Consider the following 23,327-nt stretch of genomic DNA (forward strand, 5'->3'; position numbering starts at 1 on the left):
GCACCTATCAACCCATCATCTAGGTCTTAAGCCCTACATGCATTAGGTATTTCTCCTAATGCTATCCCTCCCCTAGCCCCCCACCCCACAACAGCCCCTGGAGTGTGATGTTCCCCTCCCTGTGTCCATGTGTTCTCACTGTTGAACTCCCACTTATGAGTGAGAACATGTGGTGTTTGATTTTCTGTTCCTGTGTTAGTTTGCTGAGAATGATGGCTTCCAGCTTCATCCATGTCCCTGCAAAGGACATGAACTCATTTTTTATGGCTGTATAGTATTCCATGGTGTATATGTGCCACATTTTCTTTATGCAGTTTATCATTGATGGGCATTTGGGTTCCAATCCCTAAGTTTTATTCAGTATATGGTACCAGCTATATGCACTTTGGGTAACCTTGGTCACATCATCTCATTTGCCTGCTCATTCACGGATACTTATTCAACAAATACCAATTGAGCAAGATGTATGTGCTAGTATGACAGAGAGATAGGTCACCTGGGGCCTCAGCTTCTCCACTGCTGAAGACTTGTGCCAGATCACTGGCTTTCAATGCAGTGTGGACTCCAGAGCCCTATTTTATTAAACAAATTAGAGTGGATTCAAGGTTATTCCTCTAATAGCTTCACTCCTTGGTATACTGAAGCTGTCTCAGGTGAAAGAGAAAATGGTGGAGTGACAGCTATAGGCTTGGAATTTTTGTTATTATTACCCAGAACTTAATTGATCTCTGCCTGAATTGTTAGGCTGTGTGAGCCTCACTTGCCACAAGGTCTTCATGAAAAGGATTGAGAACTGCTGAACTGAATGTTCTCTGAGATTCTTTCTAGCTCTGACATTCACAGAGTGCTGAGACAGTTTTTCTTTTTTCTTTGTTTTCATTTAACACTGTTTCACATGCACATTTCCAAGACTCCATATGGCTGATTTCCTTGTCAGTCTCAGAAACAGTGCTTCAGTTTTGCTTAGCAGTAGTCCTATTGGTTCCTGTCTTCCCTTGATTCCCTCTACTTTTACAGACTTTTTTCAGAGCCTTCATTTCAATGAATCCTAATGGTGTGTGTGTCTGTGTATTTGTCCACACTCAAGGTCTTTATCTGGTACCTACAGGCACTCAGCAACTACCAATTGGATGAATTAGTGAATTCTTAATGATTATCAATAATTTCATCTCACACACACACACATACACACACAGAGAGAGAGAGAGAGAGAGAGAATGAGAGAAATCATAACCTTTGGCTTATTTTACTTCTTTTTTGAGGGTGTTAATTTTCAAAACAGAATCGCTAGATCCAAAGTTTAGCAGCAAGTTTCATGCTTGTATTACCAGCTACCAGATTGCTGTGTTGCCTCTGTTTTATGTAAGCAGTAGTTTTTCTGATAACACTTGTGTTAATTATTTATAACATTATAAGTAATTAATCAAATCAAGGAGTGTTTTCTCTTCCTTTTTTTCTGGGTGTCAATATTCTTTCTATCCCAAACTCTAGTTGTTTCCCTAAAGCCATCAAATAAGAGGTTTGTCCTCTGAGTTTAACCAGAGAAAAAGAAATGGGCTGTTCCTGCTCTCCACCCTTTGCAATTTCTGTGATGATGATGATGATGATGATGATGATGGTGATGATGATGATGAAGGTAACTATAACAACCCTGTGAGAATATTAATAACCCCATTGACAGATGAGGAAACTAAGGCCCAGAGAGATGAAGTGATTTGCCCTCAGTCACACAGCTAGATATTAGCAAAGACAGGATTTATATCTGGTTCCATGAGACTCAGAACCTGGCCTCTTTCCACTAAACTACACTACATCACTCCCCACGTGGAAGTTCAGGGTCAGGAGCCTGGGGAGCAGCAGGTCTGTCAAGTTCTGCAGGGCTGAGCTGTTTATCATTGTGGAGGACACTCATCACTGTGCTAATTACATTAATTGCTGCCCACTCTGTGGCTAGGTGGGTGGCTTAACAACACCTAGCAACGTGGTAACGATGCCTGGGCCTGTCTTTATGCATGAAAACATCTGCCTTTTTTTTTAAACTCCTTCCTGTGGTGTCCAAGGATAGTAATTACAGGTTCTATTGGTTGGGAGTTAGTGATTCTCTACCCTGTAGGGAAAAGGTCAAGACTATGAACTTTGCCCTCTAACAGCCTTTTTACTGGAATCGGGAGGGAAACCGAAGATTTATTAAATATCAACCCTGTGCTTGACATTTTATTTAAGGGATCTTTTATAATCCTCATGATTCCTCAAGAAATAGGAATTATATTATTCTTACTTTGTTTATGAGAGTACACAGTCACCATGTTGGGGTCACATAGCAAGCTAGGAGCAGGTGGGAACAGGCTTAGAACTCAGGACTATCAGTGGACACATTTAGTCTTCACAAATTTATCTACACGACAGCATCTCGTAACAGAAGACAGTGTCTTTCTAATGTTTAGAACTGAATTATAGTGAGGCCGAGTCTGTATTTCCAGAGAACAAGCAAGGCATTAGGAGCTGGTGTTTTGTGGAGTTCTCTATTGGTAAAGGATGAATATTTGAGATGTCAGCCTTCCGACCTCCACTCCTTCCCTTAGTTTCTGAAAGAAATTAACAGAGTTTTCCAGTTGATTTTTAAATAAGTAATTTCAAGACCACCTCTGTCTACTTGTTGGGAATGGACAAGGTGGCTTTGGCAATTCATCATAATTGGGTAAATGACTTAATTTTCAGAGGCTCAGATAACAGACGATAATTTAGGAAGTAATTGACTTTGGAATGTTGTGTATTCATGTACTTTAAGGGTGTGCCCATATCTATATGTGTAGGTATATATGTCAATAAATGTGTGGTGCGTGTGTGTGTGTGTGTGTGTATTCTTCAGGAAGACTTAGAGTAGTAGTGGACTTAGATGATTTGGTTCCTTTTATACCTGCCATTTGTCTATAAATAAAGTTTAAATAAAGTTTAGCTTGTATACTAAAGCTCAGAACAACTACATCATATGATGATACAGGGTAGTAGTTAAGATATATGAAGCTAGGCCAGGGTTTGAATCTTTTTTTTTTGTTTGTTTGAATCTTGGCTCGGTCACTTACCAGCTGCTATGACTTGGGCAGGTCACTTAACCTCTCTGGCATCAGTTTTTTCATTTCTAGAAATAGGGATGATAACAATTCTCATCTCATGAGGTTCTTCTATGCCACGGAGGCTTTTGAGACAGGAACTATGTCTATACACTTTTCTGCACTCAGCCAGAATGAGGTTTGGAAGGAGCAGGCTTTGGACTTAGATACTCGATTCTGATTCCAGCACTCCCATATTGGCTGTCTGACCTTACAGAAACTATATACCTTTTCTGGACCTCAGATTCCTCATTTACACAATCAAGGCTCCTGATTTCTACCTAAAATGATTGCGATACCACAAGGTGGGACCCATGAGACCTGGTGCAGCAGTAACACACAGGAGGGATCCAGCGAAGGTTGGTTCTTTTTCCCCTTATTCCCATCCTAGGGTCTTACATTTAATAATTGGTGACTCAGTTCTTGTTTGATATGTAAAATACATTCTTTTGTCTCATACTCCATTTTTCCCTCTTTCCACTATTTTCCTTCTCCCTTTTCATAACACTTTCCTTTCTTTTACCTTTTTGGTCAGCTTCTATCTACTGTGATTGAAGCCCTCTGTCCAGGTCACCAGCCATTGTCTCCTGGATTGTGGCAGCAGCTTTCTAACTTGTCTCCTTGCCTCTATCTGTCCCTGTTGTTTCATTCTCCATGCAGGGCAGTCCTTCTGTAACCTGAACCAGACCTTGCTGCTCCTCTGTGCCACTCCCTCCGGTGGCTTCTCATCACCATGGCCTGCAAGGCTCTGTGTGACCTGTCTTCTGGCACTCCCTGACCTCCCTCTTAGCTCAGTCTGCTCCAGCCTCAAAGGCCTTCTGGCTGTTACTGGAACATTCAAGCACATTCTTGCTTTGGGTCTTTTATAAATATATACATCTGTCTGTGTGTATATATATATATACACACACACACACACACACACAAAAACACACACATACACACACATATATACACACACACATACACACACACACATATATAGTTCTCTCTTCCTCCAGATATCTGTAGGCTTCATCCTCTCACTTCCTTAGGCCTCTGCCCACATGGCACCATATCAGAAAGGCCTTCCCTGATGACTTAATATTAAAAAAAAAAACCCAAGCACTCCCAGTCCTCCGTTTTAGTTTTCCTCTTTTCTCTTATCAGTGGCATATTAGACACTTATTCATTTACTTATTTATTTTCTCTCTCCCCTGAGCAGCACGTGACCTCTATAAGAGCAGACTTGGTTTTGTTTTCTGCTGTGTCCCCAGAACCTGGAGCACAGTAAGTGCTCAATAAATATTTGCTGGATTTTGTGAATGTGTGTGTCCCCTTTATGAAATGGCACGGAAGAGCCTGCACTGACGCTCCAGGTGATTTGGGGCCTGAATGGGTCACTGATCAACTTTTATCTTAACCAGACCAGGGTGATGAGGAGAATTAGGTGGCTGCTCAGGGGCCCTTCACACACATACCTTTGGGACCAACGCTGTTTCGTCTGCAGCAATGGCGTGCCTGGCTTTCATGCTTGTGGTTTGTACCATAGTTGTGATGTTGTCTAGAATTCCCATGGCAGCTTTACAATATGATTAATTTTGCTCATATAGATACATATCGATTACGGATAAAGATGACTCAAGGTTTAAATTTAGCCCCACCACAACAAATTGAAAGTCACAGGTGTGCTACCTAATTGCTCCCAGACTATGAAAACAAAAGCACAATGTCTGCCAGCACTGAATCACTCTTCTCCACCCTTTTTCTCCCTTCCCTTCATGTTCTCTGTCTTAATTCTGTTCATGTCGTAAACCGTGGTAGCTTAGAAAAGTGAAAAATAACATCCGGAGTCCAAAGTTCCAGTCCTGACACCACCACTTGTTTACTGTGAGATCTCAAGCATGTTACCCCACCTCCCTGAGCTTCAGTTTCCTCTTTTGTAGAATAGACCTACTTGAAAACAGGTGCTCAATAACGTGTTGAATGAAAGATGCCTAAGTGAGACAGCATGGGTAGAATGTCTAGCCCAGGGTGAGCACTCAATAGATGCTAGTCACCGGCCATGCTAACTGATGCACCTGACTGTGCTGTCTTCATGAACTTTCTTTGGCTTTGGTTAACCATTAGGATAGGCAACCCAGCTGAAAACAGAGGATGGCTCATGACAAGGCCTTTCCTAATCAGTCTCTCACAAGGGCTTTTATGGAGGCCCTACTATGCGTACAGCAAGGTGGAAGATTCAGGGGTGGGTGGAGCATCAAGCCAGCGAGAGGCATAGTTACTGCTGCTATTGGTGCCCTGTGGCTGCTGTAACAAATGACCACAAGCTTTGTAGCTTAAAGCCACAGAAATGTATTCGCTCACAGTTCTAGAGGGCAAAGCATTTGAAATCAAAATGTTGGCAGGGCCACGCTCCCTCCAAGGGCCCTAAGGAAGAATCCACTCTCTGCCTTTTGCAGCTTCTGGCGACTCCTGGTGTTGCTTGGCTTGTGGAAGCACAGCTCCGTTCCGCGCCTCTGTCTTCACATGATCTTCCCTACTGTGTGTCTCTGTGTCTCAAATCTCCCTCACCTTTCTCTAATAAGGAAACCAATCATTGGATTTAGGGTCTACCCTAAATTCAAAATGTTTTCATCTTGAGATCCTTAACTTAATTACATCTGCAAGGACCCTATTTCTAAATAAGTTCACATTCATAAGTGTTGGGGTTTGGGGTTTAGGGTTTTGACATCTTTTTTGGGGTCCCAATTTAACCCAGCTACAGTGGCCTCCAGGAATTTCAGATTAGGGAAAGGAAGAGCACACACAGATGAACAAAAAAAGTTTCAAGTAGAGTTTGTAAGACAAATCTTATTTGAAGGTGGTTAGTAGGGGGTTGATCCATTAATTTTTTGATCCAGAAATATTCACTGAGCCCCTGCTATGCTGGGTGCTGGAGATAGAAATGAGGAAGCACAGTCTCTGCCTTCAAGGAGTTCACAGACTGCTTCAATGAACAGAGAAATGGACATTTATTGTTGAGCATGGTAGGAGCTGTGGTAGAAGTAGACCCCTGATGCGATGGGCATTAGCAGGTCTGAGTTACAACCTCGGGGCTGGTGTTCAGAGAGGGCTTTCTGCAGGAAGTATTATCCCTTCCAAGGCCTAAAGGTTGAGGGAGTAGGAGCTGGCCAGGCCCAAGCGGGAATGGTTCTAGGAAGAAGGAATGGAGGAAAGACAGGCTGGCCTGTATAGGTTCTGCACTATGTAGGGGGCTGGAGAGGTGCACAAGGGATCAGATTGAATGGGATGCTGAAAACCACAGAAAGCTATGGAGAGCCATAGAAAGACTGTAGGGAGGGGAGTGACATGACTAGATCTGTATGTTAAAAATAAAAATTGGAGAAGGTCTTTTGAGAAAAGTGATTTTCTAATAGAATTTTATTTGATCCTTTTTTTAAAAAAAGAAGCATAACATATATACAGAAATGCATACAAGTCATAAGAGGTGCATTTTGATGAATGATTACAAAGTGAATAGCCCTGTGTATATACTGCTTAGGTTTTCCAGATGTATAGGTTGTCAGAGTACAGGCAGAATAGAGGAGAGATGGCCTAATCATTTGGAATTTCTCTTCTTTGTCCTGTGGAGAAATGGCTTTCATAACAGAAAGAATATGGGATCTAGGGTAGAAAGGCTCAGTTTTGAGCTCTATATCTGGTATTTCCTTTTTGTATGATCTCAGGCAAATGGCTACACTTTCCTTATCCTCAGTTTCACTACTGAGAGTGGACTAGCTATGTCTTCTTCACTAAGATGGTGTGCAGGTAAAATAGGACAAAGCTGGTAAAAAGCTCTCTGCATTATGCAAAATAGTTGCCCATATAATTCTAAAATTCCAATCTGTCTCAGATATAGACTGCTTCACTTTATCTTCTTCCTTCTTTATATGACATTTTGACAGATGAATGAGGAGGGAAGGAGGGGAGGGAGTTTCTCTTTTTGTAATGCTTTTTTTTTTTTGGTTTTGTTTTCCATTTCAAAATGCCAGCCACATCTGGAGTGGCTCTCCTATACCCTTCTCTGTCCCTACTCTTCCTGCTCATTGCTGGCCATCTTACCCAACCAGGCCCAAAGAGGCAGGGGAAGGAGGGCGGGAATGAGGGCATGAAAAGAGCTTCGAGGTGAAAAGAAGTCCCTTCGTCTTCCTTGAGGGTCCCTGCTGTCCCCAGCTGTGCACTAGGCATTTGGGATGGAGGTGGGGGGATGTAGATGGGAAACATGCCCTTCACTTTCAGTGTGATGTCAAGTCTGTTGAGGCAAAATGAAAACAGCCTAGGCCGAGCGCGGTGGCTCACGCCTGTAATCCCAGCACTTTGAGAGGCCGAGGCGGGCGGATCACGAGGTCAGGAGATCAAGACCATCCTGGCTAACACGGTGAAACCCCCTCTCTACTAAAAATACAAAAAAAAGTTAGCCAGGCATGGTGGCAGGCACCTGTAGTCCCAGCTACTCGGGAGGCTGAGGCAGGAGAATTGCGTGAACCTGGGAGGCAGAGCTTGCAGTGAGCCGAGATCTGGCCACTGCACTCCAGCCTGGGCAAGAGAGTGAGACTACGTCTCAAAAAAAAAAAAAAAACAAAAAACAAAAAACAGCCTAATAGCAGAGCAAGACCAGCTAAGGTCAAAGTCTTAGTGTCAGAGGCAAATAGCCCCAAAGGAGGCTGGAAACAGAAGAGACCACTTCACTGGGTAAAACACCTACAGAAGGTGAGCTCAGTGCTAGGCTCTCCCTTCTCTCCTCTCATTTCAAATTCTTGGCATTTTATGCAATAAATATATTTAAGCACCTATAGCATATCAGACCATTATTTTATACACATTGTTTTATTTGATCCTCAGAACAACACTAAAAGCTAAGTATTATAATTACCATCTTTTGGAGGAAGGGGACCAAGATTTACAGATTTGCTCAAGATCACACCACTGTTAAAAGAAGGAAATAGCTTTGAACCCACACCCATCCAGTCCCACAAATCCTGCTCTTTCCACTCTGCTATACCGTTCGTTGAACGTATGTGGAAGGGAGCCACGCGCTTTATCGGGCTGCATCACATTGCATGCATTTTTAGTATATGTGTGCACATGCCAACAGGCATGTGGGAATCCTGCTGGGTGAGTTGTAATGAGGGCGTTTTGAGTGGCTAGATGCATTTTTGCTGGTGAGGCCTGGCTCAAGGAGAACAGGAAAGGAAGCATACAAACCCAGTGTGTGGGAGGCTAGTCACACGGTGTGAGGGCTTGTCCTTGAACAAACTATTGGGAAATGGGTCTGTTAAGCCCTGGTGAAACTTTACTTTACTGGGGGGCCCCTAGGTTTTTCCATGACTATTTGATTTCCAAAGCATAATTCATTCCCAATTCTTGAAAAAAAAGAAAAAGCAATATTTGTTTAGCACCTCCTGTGTGCCAGGCATGGTGCTTGGTGCTTTACATATGTGACATCATTTAATTCTCACAAACCCTTGCCCATTAGTGCCACTGTTCAGCCCAGGAGACAGATTCAGGAAGTTCAGGCGATTTGTTCAAGATTCTTCAGCTGGTGTGGAGCAGCACTGGGGTTCCTGCCCTGTGCTGTTCAACAGCAAGTCACACTGGCATTTTAAAGTTATTGGTGGGACATTCTGTCTTTTAATATAGTTGTAAATTATCTCTAATCATGAAATAGGATGACAGCATACTGATCCTTCCTCTCCTCTTTTAGAAAAAGAAAGGCATTATCTTTTCATTCCTGAGTAACTAAGATTCTTTGCCCCAGAGGTAAAAATCTCCACTCCAGGTTACTCATGTGTCATTGTCCGGAGGGTACAATTGCTACTCTTGCTTTCGTTTGGCCCTTTTTCTTCTTCTTTTCCTAAGGTACCTGGCCTCTTTCAAGATATCTCTCACTCCCCCATACCCATCACTATAGTATAAGGCTGCTGAGGTGGCACCAGCCATGATAAGGAAGGCAGGGACCTGTGGCCTGGATGAGCCTGTAGTCAGAGAGACCTGGTGTGTATGGAGTCTAGAGGGCCCTCTGAGGTTTGAGATAGGCCTAATAGTCTCCCAAAGACCCCTGGTCCCTGCTCACCTAGTGCCATCATAGAAGGGAAAAGATGTTCTTGGTGTCACTGGAGAACATTTGGCTTTGGAGATAAGTGTTTGGGCCACCAGCCCCCTTCAAGAATATATAGCAATTATGAGTGTCTGGATGGACCTCATTTTTTGCACTGGGCGGATAGATTAACCAAACCTCCCAGAAGTGGAATGAATAACAAAGAGAAAGGTCTTTGCAATTCTAGGGCTTGTCCTTTCACATCTCTTTTAAGGCTTGTGAAAGCAGCGAGCAGTGGGGAGGGAGATGGGTGGAATGGGCATTTGTTAACGAGGAGAAATCCTGAGATGCTTGGTTGTGTGACCTGGGGTTGGGAAGCCACTCCACTTCACATCTCTGAGTCTCAATTTTCCCTTCTGCCATTTGGCAAAGGGAATGCTTCCCTTCCTCTTCCCCTGCCCCAGACGGCTGCTGTGAGAATGAGATGAGAATATGTTTAGGGTTTTGGAGTGATGTCCGAACTCAGAGAAGGTGCTTAGGCCAAAGTCAAGAGGCCTGAGGTGTACTCCAGACTCTGCCCTGAACTCAGTATCTCTTCTTTCCGGGGCTTCCTTTCTATAAAATGGGGGAATGAGGGTAGCTTTCTTTCTTTTTTTTTTTTTTCCCTCAATGGTCACTTTTGATTCTAAATGCCATAATGCCATGACTGTTTTCTCAAAGTAGAGGATTAGATGCAACTTTTAGGAGATAAATGGATCATTTAATAGTTACCTGTTCAGTCATTTAACAAATGTTTAATGAGGACCTACCACATGTCAGCCACAGTGCTAGGTAATGGATAGAATAACAAACAAAACAGACGTAGCCCCTGCCCTCATGGAACTTCTAGTCTAGTATAAGACTGTTTGGAAGAACTTCCTCATCTCAGATAGTTGAAGAAGTTCCAGGGCTCCAAGGGGAATGTCGTTAGTTAAAAGAACAATGTCAGGAATGTAATAGGTGCTCAAATATTTGTTAAATGAATAAATCAATACAAGCACCTGAAGGAAGCTCTTGCAGTAACCCTAGAGTTAGGAGCAGTTCTTTGGAGTCCAGAAAGACTGTGGGAGCTCTGGCAAAGGGTGTATGTAATTGCTAAATAGTTTGTTTGTTGAGACACCTGTGGATGGGAGGATCTGCCCCTACCTGCCTGGTTCTCAAGGTGGCCACTTACTGGGAACAACGATGGCTTCACTTGCCAGGTCTTTTCCCCAGAGGTGGAGCCCATGCAGATGCTGGAACTGAAGGGGGGAAGGGAAAAGTGGCCAGGGAAAAATGCCAGTGTTTGTATGACATTTGGGCTAAGCCCAGAGGACCCATAGAGATTGTGGGGTCTCATCTGTATCCTGTCAGAGGGGTAACTGAGGCCTAGATGGGATGTGAGGTCACAAAAGAGTTGGCTCCAAGCCATGTCAGGAGGCTGGATGGGGAGGTGGAAAGAACCTGGGCTTAGGAGTTGGAGAGTACTTGGGTTTGAAGGCTGTGGATCCTTGGGTAAATCACTTAATCTCTCTGAATCAGCTTTCTCATCTGTTGAAGAGACATCACAGTGGTGGCATCTGAAAGATGTCATGAGGTATAATGTGTCTTGGACACCTAAAATCAGGACCCAGGACTAACTATAGACCTGATAATCAGTATTTATAATTATTACATTATTAGGACCCAGGTCCTATTTCTGTGCAATGTTGAAAGATAGTGATAAGAACAATTTAGATCAGAACTTACAAGTTTGCATGATCTTCATTATAAATGAAATAGTGAAACAATGCTGAGCGGATTTACAGAGGCGTAACTCATTCATTAACCAGCTTAGACAGGCATTTTCCCCCCTCTTTGGGATTGGTTTTCTCTTCTGTTAAATGGGGATAATTTTTATGCTCAACCTCTTCTCATCCATCTATTAAACATTTATTGAATGCCTATTAGGAGTCATAATATGCTTAGTGCTGAGGACACAGGAAGAGGACATAGTTCCTGACCCTAAGGAGCTCATTACCTAGTGGGACACTATTAAACAGATACAACACAGAATAGTATGTATAGAGCATGGTATGTAGCAGGGGCCTATTCCTGTCTGAGTGGACAAGGAGGCTTCCTAGAGGAAGCAACATTTAAAGCTGAGGGCTGAAGGATGAATAGGATTTAACCAAGTAAAAGTAAGAAAGGAAGTGGGGAGCTGGAAAGGGCATTCCAGGAAGAAGAAACTGCATGTGCAAAGGCCAGGAGGTCAGAGCGCACAGTGGATATGACGATGTGGCTAGCTGAGCATGTCTGTGCAGTGTCAACTTTGTTGTGAACACAGAGGGAGGCTACTGGGAAATTTTAAGCAAGAGAGTTGGAGTATGATCACATTTGCATGTTAGAAAGAACACTCAGGGTTATATGCACTTGAATGAAGTTTTATTATGGAGAGCAGTTGGAACAAGTCGATTCTTTCCTCCTCCTCCATCATCCTCCTCTTTTCCCTGTCCACATAACATGGCTCACATGAGATAAAATAACCCACACAAGCATGCCTTGTGTAATGTCTGCCACATAGTAGGTGTCCAATTATCATATAATTCCCCCCTTTTTAAATGTAGTTCCTGAAAGAGAAATCCCCTGGCATGAAGCACAAGTTGGGGCAAAAACGGTGAGGGTGTGGCTGTTTGTATCTTCTGGCTGGTGTTTGGGTATAGCCGACAGGATTTAGGTCAGAGGAAGTTCCCCAGACAGTTCAGCCTCAACCAGTCATCTGGGGTTTCAGGGAGGGCAGGTGAAGGTCATAATATCCCCCTATTTCAGGAGGCCACCCCTCCCCAGGATCCTGATCTTGAAATGTACCAGACATGGACCATTGCGTTAATTTGTCTGGGTCGGCTTCCTCATCTGTAAAATGGGTATAAGGTTACCTGTGCTGTCAGCCACATGGGGTTGTTGTAAGAAACAGAAAAGTGTGAACCACCACAAAATAATATAAGACTACATTAATTAATGGCTACCCTGGGCTGGGCCTTGTTCTGTGAAGTAGATATTATCAATTATCCCTATTATACAGATAGCAAAACCAAGGGTCAGAGAGATTATGTGAATCACCCACAGGCACAGAATAAGTGGCTGTAGCTGGAGCGCTGGCATTTTAACCACAACACTGTGACACCATGACTTGTTCTCCTTTGAAAACCACCTCCTGCTCCCTGAGCTCTTAGCTTGATGCAGTACTCCAGAAATGAGTGTAGAAAGATGGAAGAAGGAAGGAAAGGGGCAGTGTTTGAAGTCTGAGAGTCTTTCCAGATGCCTCCCTACTCCTCACCCCACCAACTCAGGGTCTTCTTCCAGATGCACTCTGGGAAATGGCTCATGGCATCCTCTTAAAATGACCTGTTACCTGACTCCTCATTAGATGGGGACACGTGGGGGAAGGGACTGTTTGGTTTGCGTTGGTATCCCCAGGGTCTAGTACAATGGCTGGCACTCAGTAAATGTTTGTGAATAAATTCCTCCTGTCATTGTCTGAATTTTCTGCCCATGCTGTCCTCTTGGCCAAGAGATCTAAAAGCAAACGAGCTGGGGCTTCTGGAAAGTCTTCCAAGGTCAGTGGATGCATGTGTGATGGAGGCCCAGCAAGAGGTCAGTGTGTTGCCCTGGGGCAAGCCTGCAGGATGGACCCAGAGGGCTGGGGTGGCCGGCTTCATCCAGCTCATTTTTCCCAAGGGATCTGGCGCTCACAGGCTGCACATAGAGCCCACGTGTTGTGTTGCGTGAGGACCCCTAAGGATTTGTTGAGTGGTCCTAGGTGCTCAAGTCACTGTACCTGCAGGGTGGCTTGAGCTGGGCCCACCTGACTGATTGGCTGGTCAATAGGTGGCCTGAGAACCAAAACTAGCCTCCAGCACATTGAGCAACCGGCTTCCTTCCTGCCCCGGGTCAGGAGCTGGGCCAGGGAAAGTGAAGAAACCTGTTTGGGGCCTCGGCAGGGTGGGCGTGGGTGGGGCCCTGCCGGGAAAAGAGGCGCCTAGACCAGTTAGTTTCCTTTGCTCCAGGACCGGATGCGGAGCCGGGACTCAGGTGGAGGCAGGAGAAATACGCACCCTGGGTGCACCTGTAAGTCCTCCAGGACTACATTGGTTTTGGCTATGACATGACCAGGGGCTCTGGGTCGGTGGTCACCGGGCGTGGGGCTTCTGGCTGCTAAATCAGGAGAGTGAGCGGGCCGGGCGGCGGCGAATGAGTTGACGGGTGGAGCTGGAAGAGGCTTTGGCGATCCAGCGGGCAAGCGAAGGACACCGCGGGAAGGGGTGGTACCCGGAAACGCAGCTGGGCAGTCGCGCCGCTCCCCTGTCCTCGCCAGCGCGCTTTCTCTTCCTGGCCCCTGCGCCTCCTCCGGGCCCCGCGGTGGCGTGAAAGGCGCTCAGGACAGACTTGTATTTGAATCCAAGCTGTTCCACCCACACGCTTTTGTTCTTGGGCGAGTGACTTCTATCTGACCCAGAGTTTTCCCAGACGAAAGTGGGAAGACGGTGCCTACCCCAAAGCGTCGTGGGAATGAAAGTCAATGAAGTGACATAGGAAAGGTGCCTAGCACATGGCAGGTGCTGAGCAAAGCGGGGTTCCCTTTCCCTTTGTTTAGCCCCAAGATCTCACTCCTAGCCCTGAAGTCGCGCCCCAAAGGCAGCCCCAGGACGGCGGGGTCTGGGAGGCAGGAGGCCTGGCCTGGCAATAACTCATTTGAATCATTTGATCCTCAAATGGGATGGGGGCGAGTGGGCGGATTCTGAGGCTGCCTTTGGAATGCGTTTCTGTGATCCTAGGAGGGAATTTCAATGCATTCTTCCATTCACGTATTTATTTATTCACAGATTCCTATCAGGCGAAGGCCGCCTTTCCTGGCCTCCCCCACAGGCCCGCCAGCGATTCGTCCTTACAAGGCTAGCCTCCACGGGCTGCCCTCTGTGTAAATAAAGCCACAGACTTCCGCCCACAGGTCGCCGCAGGTCCCGCCCGCAGCGCCGGGCCGCGGGGGAGGCGGGAACTGGTGCTACGGCCGCTACGCAGGCCTCGGGAGGCTCGGAGCCCGCCACGCCCCAGCCCTCTCGCAGGGCCGGGGAGCCACGGGGCCAAAAGGAGGAGCAGGTGGAAGAAATCCAGGCTCAGACCGTCGGAGTCCCCACCCATGAGCACCCTTCTCCACTGATCACTCAGAACATGGTAGGCCCTAGAGAGACAGCAGCCCGAATCTTCCCAGAAACCCTGCAGGAGATTCCTTCTTCCCATTTTATAGAAGGGAGGCTGAGGCTCGGCACGTTGAAATGGCTTGACCAAGGTCCCACAGGCAAAAAAATGGTACAGCAAGATATTGTAACCCAATATCTGGCTGCAAAACCCAGTCTCTCCCCAACCCACCTATCGTCACCGAGATTGTAAAACTTCTAACCGGGAAGAATCAAATACATGCACAACGGGTTACAGGTTAACAGACAGATGGGAGCGGAAAGGGACATTCCAGCGCTTCCCTGGGCGTGTCGCACAGGGCAACTCCAACCACAGGCGAATTTTCCTGGGTGACAGTTAAACTCCTTTTTGCATGAAAAAATACAGATTCTTATTAAAACAATAATCGATTAGACTATAAAACTCTCAAAGTTATTTCGGATCAAAATTATTTTCGGCTGTTTCCACACCTTTTTTTCTCGATTGTGCAGAAATTCTTCACACCGTCTGCACAGATGGGCAAACTGAGACCCGGACGAGTCCCATTGAGAGAGAGAGGCAGAGCCGGGGTTGGGAGAAGACTGAGATTTCTGGGATCCGGCTTGGGGTGTTTCCGCTGGGTGGGGGCGCCGGTTTGCGAAGAGCTTTCCTCGGACAGCTACTGCTGATTTTTGTCGCTCAGCCAGCCAAGTGGGGGCGATTCTGAGTAATCGCAGGCAATCAGCGCGGCTGGGGTTAAAAGCGAAAGGGACTCGCGGGCGAACGGCCGGGGAGGGCGGCGGGCACAGAGCCCAGACGCCGGCAAAGGCGGGGCGCCGCCGGGGTTCCCTCGGTGCGAGCGCGCGCGGCACTTCCTGCTTTTGCTCCTCCCTGCGGTCCTGCCGGCCGTTGTAAACTGGCGCTGCGGGCCACACCCGTGTTCCAGGCCCGCTAACCCACCGGCGGCCCCAGAGCCCCAGGCGGCCCCAGAGACCCAGCCTCAATCCTCAGTCCTCGTACAGTCCTCAGGTCCAAGTTCTGGCCATAGGAACGCCAGCCAGATCTGCAGCTCAGCTAGCTGAATTTCAGGTTCCAGAGACCTGGCCCTTTTCTTCCATGTAGGGGACAGTCAGGTTCTCTGGCCTGGGTTTTCTAAAAGTACCCAGAGTTGAACTACCTTCCACTCAGCAATCCCATTACTGGGTCTGTACCGAAAGAAAAATAAGTGGTTCTTCCAGAAAGACACATGAATCCCTATGTTCATCGAAGTGCTATTCACAATAGCAAAAACTTGGAATCAACCCAGGTGCTTGTCAATGGTGGATTGGATAAAGAAAATATGGCTCATACACACCACGGAACACTATGCAGTCATAAAAAGAATGAAATCGTGTCCTTTGCAGCAACATGGATGCAGGTGGAGGCCATTATCCTAAGTGAACTAATCAGGAAAAGAAAATCAAATACCACATATCCTCACTTATAAGCAGGAGCTAAACAATGGGTACACATGGACATAAAGGTGGACATGATAGACACTGAGGACTACTAGAGTTAGTGGGAGAGGGAGCAGAGCAAGGGCTGGAAAATTACCTCTTGGGTGCTATGCTCACTATCTGAGTGACAAGCTCAATTATACTAAAAACCTCAGCATTAGGCAATATACCTTTGTAACAAACCTGCACATGTACCCCCAATTATAAAATAAAAGTTGGGACGGGTGCAGTGGCTCACTCTTTTAATTCCAGCACTTTGGGAGACAGAAGGGGGAGGATGGCTTGAGGCCAGGAGTTTGAGACCCACCTGGGCAACAAAGTGAGACCTCATCTCTACAAAAAATTTAAAAATTAGCTAGGCATGGTGGCGTGCACCTGTGGTCCCAGCTACATAGGAGGCTGAGACAGAAGGATTGCTTGAGCCTAGGAAGTCGAGGCTGCAGTGAGCCATGTTCCTGCTACTGCACTCCAGCCTAGGCACTGGGCTGGACACCGTTTCAAAATAAAGTAAAATAAAAGTTGAAAAAAATATATAAAACAAACAAAACAACCCACACTTGACATTTGCTGACTATATGGCCTTGGGAAAATTACTTAACCTCAGTCTCAGTTTCTGCATCTGTAAAATGTGAGTTACTGACACTTACCTCATATAATTGTTGTGAGAAGTAAATATGTGCCTATCTGTAAAGGCCTAGAACATTTGAAAAAAAACTAATTAAATGCTATGTTTTGTTATTAGTGTTAGTTAGGCCTAGGTAGGAATCTTGTTTAGGCCACTTAAGAACTGGATGACCAGGCAGGTGTACTTTCTTCAGTTTCCCCACCTGGAAAAAGGAGTTTATTACACTTTATGTCACAGGGTGATGGTGAGGTCCCCATTATCCAGCAATTCCACAAGTGATGATGTTTGCAACTCTTACTGTTTGCCAGCACTGTCTTAAGCATTTGACCCTTATTAACTCATTTAATTCTACAATTACAGTATGAGAGAGGTATTAAGAGCATCCCATTTCACAAATAGGAAATTGAGGAACGAAGAAGTTAAATGACTTACCCAAAGTCACACAGCTACTAAGTAGGACTTGAATCTACAAAGTTTGGCTCCTTATTCCATATTCTTAATTCCTGCAGGATGTATCAGACACAATGCTAGGCAATGGGCATGCAGCCAGGAATGATACCACACACAGCTGCCTCCTCAACAAAGGCAAGGGGTTCCTTTCTGAGCTTATTGGCATTCCTTATATATGATTAAGCATTGCATGCATATGCTATATTTTATATAATAAGGTGGCTTGCACACCGTAGATATTCAAGATTGTTGGTTTCCCTCACTGTAATTTTTGGGGGTCCAGTTCCAAGTGCTTACATGGAATGTGGAGGGAGGTTAGGTTTTAAGTGATAGAGAAGTTGGTGTCTAATAGATGCTCCACATACCTAAGTTCCCTCGTCTGTGTACTTAGTGATCTTCCAGCTAAAGAGAATAAAACAGCACAGGCTTAAGGTTTAGACCTTTTAACAATAATAATAATTACTTCTGCCTTTGCAGAGTAATTCTGTTTCTGTAGAATTATGTCTGCACTGTGGGGTTCCCAGAATTGAGGGTAAATTTACTGTATTTATCACTTAATCATTTCCAAAACAGCTTATGACTATGGCATCTTTAGTCAAAGGCCCAGAATTCTCCTCCTACCCTCTGTCTTTGGAGTCCCCGTGGTAATTTTTGCTGTAAATGGCTAAAGCTATTAAATATAGTGTACATCTTCCTGCCATGGAAATATAAGCTGTCATTACATTCATTGCTTAAATGTTGTGATTATTTCAAACTTGGCTTTTGTATTTGAAGCCTTGAGTTAAATGTGGAAAGTAAGGGAGAAAACGGATAATGGTTAGAAATAAAAACGTGCAGTGGATAGGTTTCCAAAGTAATAAAAAGCCACTTTAAATTTCAAAAGATTTTAAACCTGTGTAGTTCCAGACAGAATACCCTAAATTCCCATCAAACATTGTGTCTCTATTCTGAGGGTCAGAACCGCCTTGAGGCAATTCAATGAACTCAACTGACAACAAAGAATTAAATCATTAATTTCTGCTTGTAAAAGAGATAGCCTGTGGACAACACTCAGCAGATGGTAGGTATTCACAAGGAAACTATTATGATTAGAGACAGGGATATGGAGAGAACAAAGACAGTATACTCAGCTGACATTTATTGAGCACCTACTATGTGACAGTTGCTTTCAAATCCATTATTTCAAATAAACCTCAAAATAAGGCTATGAGGAAAAGATCATATTATAGAAGAGGAAACTGACACTCCAAGACGCTTGTTAACTTGCCGAGAAAGTGAGTGGCAAAGTCTGAGTTGGAAGAAGTTGGGTCTGACTTCAAGTTCAGTATCTGATTCGCTGCACCTCTCTGCTTTTTCCCTGTATGCCCAAATGTCAGTCATTTTAGAGCTGGAGGTGAGGATCAGAGGGGACTTTAAGATCGCCTCACCCAGAGTTTCTCTGCCTCTTTTATAATCCAAGTCACCCTAGATAAACACAAAAACCTTACATCCTCTTTTAATGAGTTTCAAATTCAAAATAAGCAAAATATCATGATTCAAAACAAATCAAAGCAAGGGGACATTTTCAGTATTTTGTTTTGAAACAAAACAAGTCTTTCCAGCACTTTTGTTTCCAGCTCCGTGCCTCCACCAACCTCACTGGAGAGCTGGTGATCCTTTGCCCCCCTCCTCCTAGTCATTGACTTCCAAGGAAGTTGAGCTCAGAGCGGACTGACTGACTAGCTTGTGACATGGTCAGCTCTTGAACTCAGGTCTGCCTGACTCCAGTGTGGTATCTTTTCTGTAAACACCCTGCTTACTTCATAGCCTGGTCTCTTACTGAACCCCAGCTCACAGTCCACACTTCGGACTGACTTTATCACCTCTAGTTTCCAGAATGTGTCCTCCTCCTTCCTGGCCGTTGCTCAGGCTTTTCCTCTCCGTGGAACACCCTCACTACCGCTCCTCCCCGCTTGTCTGGGGAGCCCCTGTTCCCCAAGCTTCAGCTGAAATGCAGCTTACTTTAGGAGCTTTTCTGGACTCCTGCCTATATCCAAATGAAGGGGACTGATTCCTTTTGTACACGTGCCCATGTACCCATGTAGAATTATCTTTTGGCATTTGCTAACACTTTAATATTCTTTACACGTCTCTTCCTTTTTTTTCTTCCTTTTTTTTTTTTAATTTGAGACAGAGTTTCACTCTTGTCACCCAGGCTGGAGTGCAGTGGCATGATCTTGGCTCACTGCAACCTCTGCCTCCCCGATTCTAGCGATTCTCCTGCCTCACCCTCCTAAGTAGCTGGGATTACAGGCATGCGCCACCATGCCCAGCTAATTTTGTATTTTTAGTAGAGAAGGGGTTTCACCATGTTGGCCAGGCTGGTCTCGAACTCCCGACCTCAGATGATCCACCTGCTTTGGCCTCCCAAAATGCTGGAATTACAGGTGTGAGCCACTGCGCCCAACCTAAGTCTCTTTTTCTTAATCGCCTATGACCTCCTTGGATATCTCACTCTACTACTACCAAAATGATGGTGGTTGGGGTGGATCCATATCTTTGTATTCTTTCAAGAGTGCCTGGCATTTAGCAAGCACTCAGTAAATGTTTATGACACACACACACACACACACACACACACACACACACACACACAACGTCATTGTCAGATTATTTTATTTTAGGTGGTCTTGAGTTTTTACTTAGACTGCGAACTCTCACAGACAGCTGTCCTCTGTTGAAGCAACAGGGAGCCACTGCAGGTTTTTGAGGCAGAGAGTTTCTTGATCCATAGGTAACATAAGAGACTTACCCATGGGATTAAAGCTAAAGATCTCCCAGTTTCCAAGCCTTTTCAATCTTTCTCTGGAAAAGTTTTATTTCACAAATAAAAGGCTGAAGAAGAGAAGTGCTATTCTTTCATTTTTTGTTAATTCAAAAAATATATCAAGTGCCTGCCCTCTCCCAGGTGCTATTTTGGGCACCATTTAGATAAGAATGAACTGGGCAGACAAAATATCTCCTCTCTTGGAGTTTGCATTCTCCTGGTGGAGAAAGACAATAAATAAGTAAATAATAACTATATCAGTTCAGATAGTAATAAATATTATGAAGAAAGATATAAAAAGACAGAGTAGGGGATGGGCAGATCATTTTACATGGCGAAGTCAAGAAAGGATCTTTGAGGACGTGGCATTTGGCAGAGCTCTGATGCAGTGAGGAGGGGAGCCAGGAGAAGGTCTGAAGCAAGTGTATTCCAAGCAGGTGAAACAGCAAGTGCAAATGCCCTGAGGTGGGAACAAGTTGGGTACGTGAGAGGAACAGCAAGATGGCTGGAGTGACAGCATGGACAGTGGCTGAGGTAGGCCCTAGGTTGTTTCCCAGGGTGGTTGCTAAGGTCAGACCATAATTTGGTAGATGTGACTAGATCAGCCAGTGCAGCTGGTTCTAAGCTTGAGCCAGCTGTGAATGAATGAATGGAACGTAGACTATCAGCCAGAAGATTAGGCTGAGTACCTTGATCAGACTTTTGTTGCTTTTAGTCAGCAACAAAATGAAGGCTTATGGAGCAAAATATAAGAACAATGTGATCTTTTAAATGAGTTTAAATAATCAAAACAGAACAAAGAGTGATTTCTTGAGTGTAAAACAGGTGGTAAGTTGGTGTTTATTCCTTAAAAAGGAATCTGTCACATCCATCCCAAGGTTGTTTTCACTGAAATGTAAAAGTTACTTTCACTGTAATTTGGGGAATGGTATTAAGACGCCACTTGCGGAGGGCAGCTTCAGCTTGATCCTGCCTGAGGACTCTGGAGTGTGGGTTAAACCTCAGGATTATCCTCGCCCAAGGCTGGAGAGCCACAGCACCTAACAGTCCACCCAAGAAGAGCTGCTGGCACTGGCCACCGAAGGCACATTGGAGCCCCCTACCCCCTAAACAATTAAAAGGAATCCCACTGAAATCTGAGTGGAACAGTGACATTGTCTGATTCGGATAGAATAAAGCAGAATCAAAGAGGATGATCTGGAAGTTCTTTTGCCTCATGATGTTCTCATTCATTACACCATAATGATTATAGGACCCAGGACAGTTAGGGATAGCCAGGAGCTCTAGGCCCCTAGGCACATAGTTACCACCTCTTGGCTTTGCTCTTACTCAGCTTTGAGGGTAGATCACCATGCAGCTTACTCGAAAAGGGCAGGGAAGCAATGTGAAGGCAGAATGACATGAATTCAGATTCTGTCTTCATTTTCAGCTCCGTTGGGAAGTTGTGTGACCTTCAGCATGTTACTTAATGTCTCTGGGCCTCAGGTCTCCTGGAACACTCCATAGTTCCCAGGCCCAGACTTTTCCCACCATACTGCCTTGTCTTTCTACAGTGTTTCTGAAACAATGGAAATGAGAGTTTCTGTTTTTCAGGAACTAATTTGGTGGGACAGTGCATAATTGATATTCTTGCTTTGTAATCATTCAAGCCTTTACTTTGCTTGTTTTATTTCTTACAGGGTTTTGATGTGGAGACCTTGAAATTCATTTGCAGAGGAGCAATTTTACACTTTTATTTAGAACTGGAGGGGAACTTTATAAAAGGATAGGGGAAGGGAGAATAAGCCCAACTTTATTTAAGATGCAGTTATGTTGGGGGCAGAGTTGACTATTTGATCATTCTTTGCCTTTTATTGGTAAAACAGACTAGAGTGTCTAAGAGAGTTAGTTGTGTTTTCATATCAAAATTTGATGGTGGATTAGTGGTGGATCTGAGAGCTATTAGAGGAAGGAAGGGCTCTTAGGGACAAGCCCACTCTCAGGTGGTTGGCAACCCTGCCCAAGTTTGGTGCTGAACGAATAAGTGAATAATTTTTTTCCACATCATATGATAAAGAGGAAAAGTTTGTGCTCATCTTAGGTCATGAGTTCTAGTTCCAGTTCCACCACTTGGGTATGTTCATTACCATCTCCAAATTCCATTTCTTTGTCTTTAATGTGAGGAGGGTTAGACTTGTCGAGCCTACTTCTTTAGGTTGTCTTAAGACTCAGATGCTAATCAAATGTACCTGTATATTACATGTGGTAATTCATGGAGTAAATCTGGTAAAGTCATTCCAGACTCTGCATCTAATTCATAGGATCTCAGGAAAATTGTATAATTTTGCTAAAGCCTCTGTTTTTTCATCTGTAGATGGAGATAGCCCCTGCCTTGCCAAATTCATATGGATGCAATCAGATAATGGATAAGAAAGAATCTTGTAAATTGTAAAGCACCAAAAAAGTATTTTTTATGTTATTATTTTTTAATCTTCCTTATCCTATTGGTCACTAGTATATTCCCTAGTCCCTGAGCAGAACTCATGGTGAACACGTTCACTCCCTTTTCATTAGGGGGCTGCTGTGGCCAGAGCATGGGCTTCTGAGTCAGAGAGGCCTCTGCTCAAATCCCTGTTCTACCAGCTACTAGCTGCTGTGTGACCCCGGCTGAGTCACTTAACCTGTTTGAGCACTATCTGAGAACTCAGAAAAATAAGATCCACCTCAGAGGTGTTTGTAGTAAGACTCAAGTAGGAGAGCATGTGTGTGGTATCCAAAACAGCATCTGCTGTGAGTTCAATCAGTGCTAATTACTTCTCTTGACAACTCTCCTCTCCCCTTGTATCTTTAAGGCTGCAGTAGTTGGGGGTTGGTCTGTTTTATTTCTAAAACCACTCGTCACATGCTAAACTGAATCATGCTGAGTTGCATGAGTTCCTTTCTGCATTAAGCTGTGGACTCCTTAAGGAAAGGATGTGTAGCTTGCAGTTCTAACCCCTGGTACTGAGTAGACATGCTGTTCTAGGGGCTCACAGAGGGGAGGCGGTGAACCACAGGAGAATGAACTTAAACTCTGGGCTACCCAGATCTAGGTTTGAGTTTCTTATGGTAGGACCCTAGACAAATCATCTAATGATACTGAGACTCAGTTTCTTCATCTGACAAATAACCCAACAGAGATGCATGCATAGATGCATACGTTTAGGGATTGTTAGGAAGAGCAGAGATAATGCTTGTAAAATGGCTAGCATGGTACCTGGTGCATACTAGGTCTTAGTGAGCAACTGTTGACTGACTAAAGCCTCCGCCCAGTGTTCCATTCTATCGCTAATAGCATCGTCTTTTCCTGAACAGAAGAAACTGGGAAGTATCCACAGGAGCAAAACACCAAGTGGTGTGAGAAAGAGACATTTGCCCTTGCGAGGGAGAATATTTTATCCCTGACATTATTCAGAATTACCTGCACATGTGACAATGAACAAAGAGACTGACTTTTGTTAAATTTCTTCTTTTTTTAAAGTTTGCTACAGATAATGCATGCCTTTATATATAACCTGTACCAGGTGGACTGCTCTCTACCTCCCCAACCTTG

The 23,327-nt window shown here is 44.7% G+C and overlaps 2 long non-coding RNA genes across 4 annotated transcripts in view, besides 5 other annotated features; both read left to right on the forward strand.

Annotated features, from left to right (window-relative positions):
- JUN-DT (JUN divergent transcript) overlaps positions 1-23,327 on the forward strand; it is a 114,562-nt gene that overhangs the window by 16,069 nt on the left and 75,166 nt on the right. The window lies entirely within an intron of this gene.
- Positions 3,678-3,972: a silencer, noted in NCBI's record as "tiled region #1716; HepG2 Repressive non-DNase unmatched - State 23:Low". NCBI's record gives its function as "represses a minimal TATA promoter and a strong SV40 promoter by Sharpr-MPRA in HepG2 cells {active_cell/tissue: HepG2}" and the evidence as "EXISTENCE:reporter gene assay evidence [ECO:0000049][PMID:27701403]".
- Positions 12,709-13,705: an enhancer, noted in NCBI's record as "H3K4me1 hESC enhancer chr1:59279600-59280596 (GRCh37/hg19 assembly coordinates)". NCBI's record gives its function as "activates a minimal SCP1, AML or CMV promoter by ChIP-STARR-seq in primed H9 embryonic stem cells {active_cell/tissue: H9 hESC(primed)}" and the evidence as "EXISTENCE:reporter gene assay evidence [ECO:0000049][PMID:30033119]".
- Positions 13,221-14,823, forward strand: LOC101926907 (uncharacterized). The gene is made up of 2 exons (XR_246327.5): positions 13,221-13,293; positions 14,049-14,823. It is a non-coding gene; the product is annotated as an uncharacterized LOC101926907 (long non-coding RNA).
- Positions 13,706-14,701: an enhancer, noted in NCBI's record as "H3K4me1 hESC enhancer chr1:59280597-59281592 (GRCh37/hg19 assembly coordinates)". NCBI's record gives its function as "activates a minimal SCP1, AML or CMV promoter by ChIP-STARR-seq in naive H9 embryonic stem cells {active_cell/tissue: H9 hESC(naive)}" and the evidence as "EXISTENCE:reporter gene assay evidence [ECO:0000049][PMID:30033119]".
- Positions 14,143-14,342: a silencer, noted in NCBI's record as "silent region_935". NCBI's record gives its function as "represses an Ori minimal core promoter by ATAC-STARR-seq in GM12878 lymphoblastoid cells {active_cell/tissue: GM12878}" and the evidence as "EXISTENCE:reporter gene assay evidence [ECO:0000049][PMID:35858748]".
- Positions 15,155-15,304: a silencer, noted in NCBI's record as "silent region_936". NCBI's record gives its function as "represses an Ori minimal core promoter by ATAC-STARR-seq in GM12878 lymphoblastoid cells {active_cell/tissue: GM12878}" and the evidence as "EXISTENCE:reporter gene assay evidence [ECO:0000049][PMID:35858748]".

The sequence above is a fragment of the Homo sapiens genome, chromosome 1, assembly GCF_000001405.40.
Source record: "Homo sapiens chromosome 1, GRCh38.p14 Primary Assembly".
In the NCBI taxonomy this organism is placed as follows: domain Eukaryota; kingdom Metazoa; phylum Chordata; class Mammalia; order Primates; family Hominidae; genus Homo; species Homo sapiens.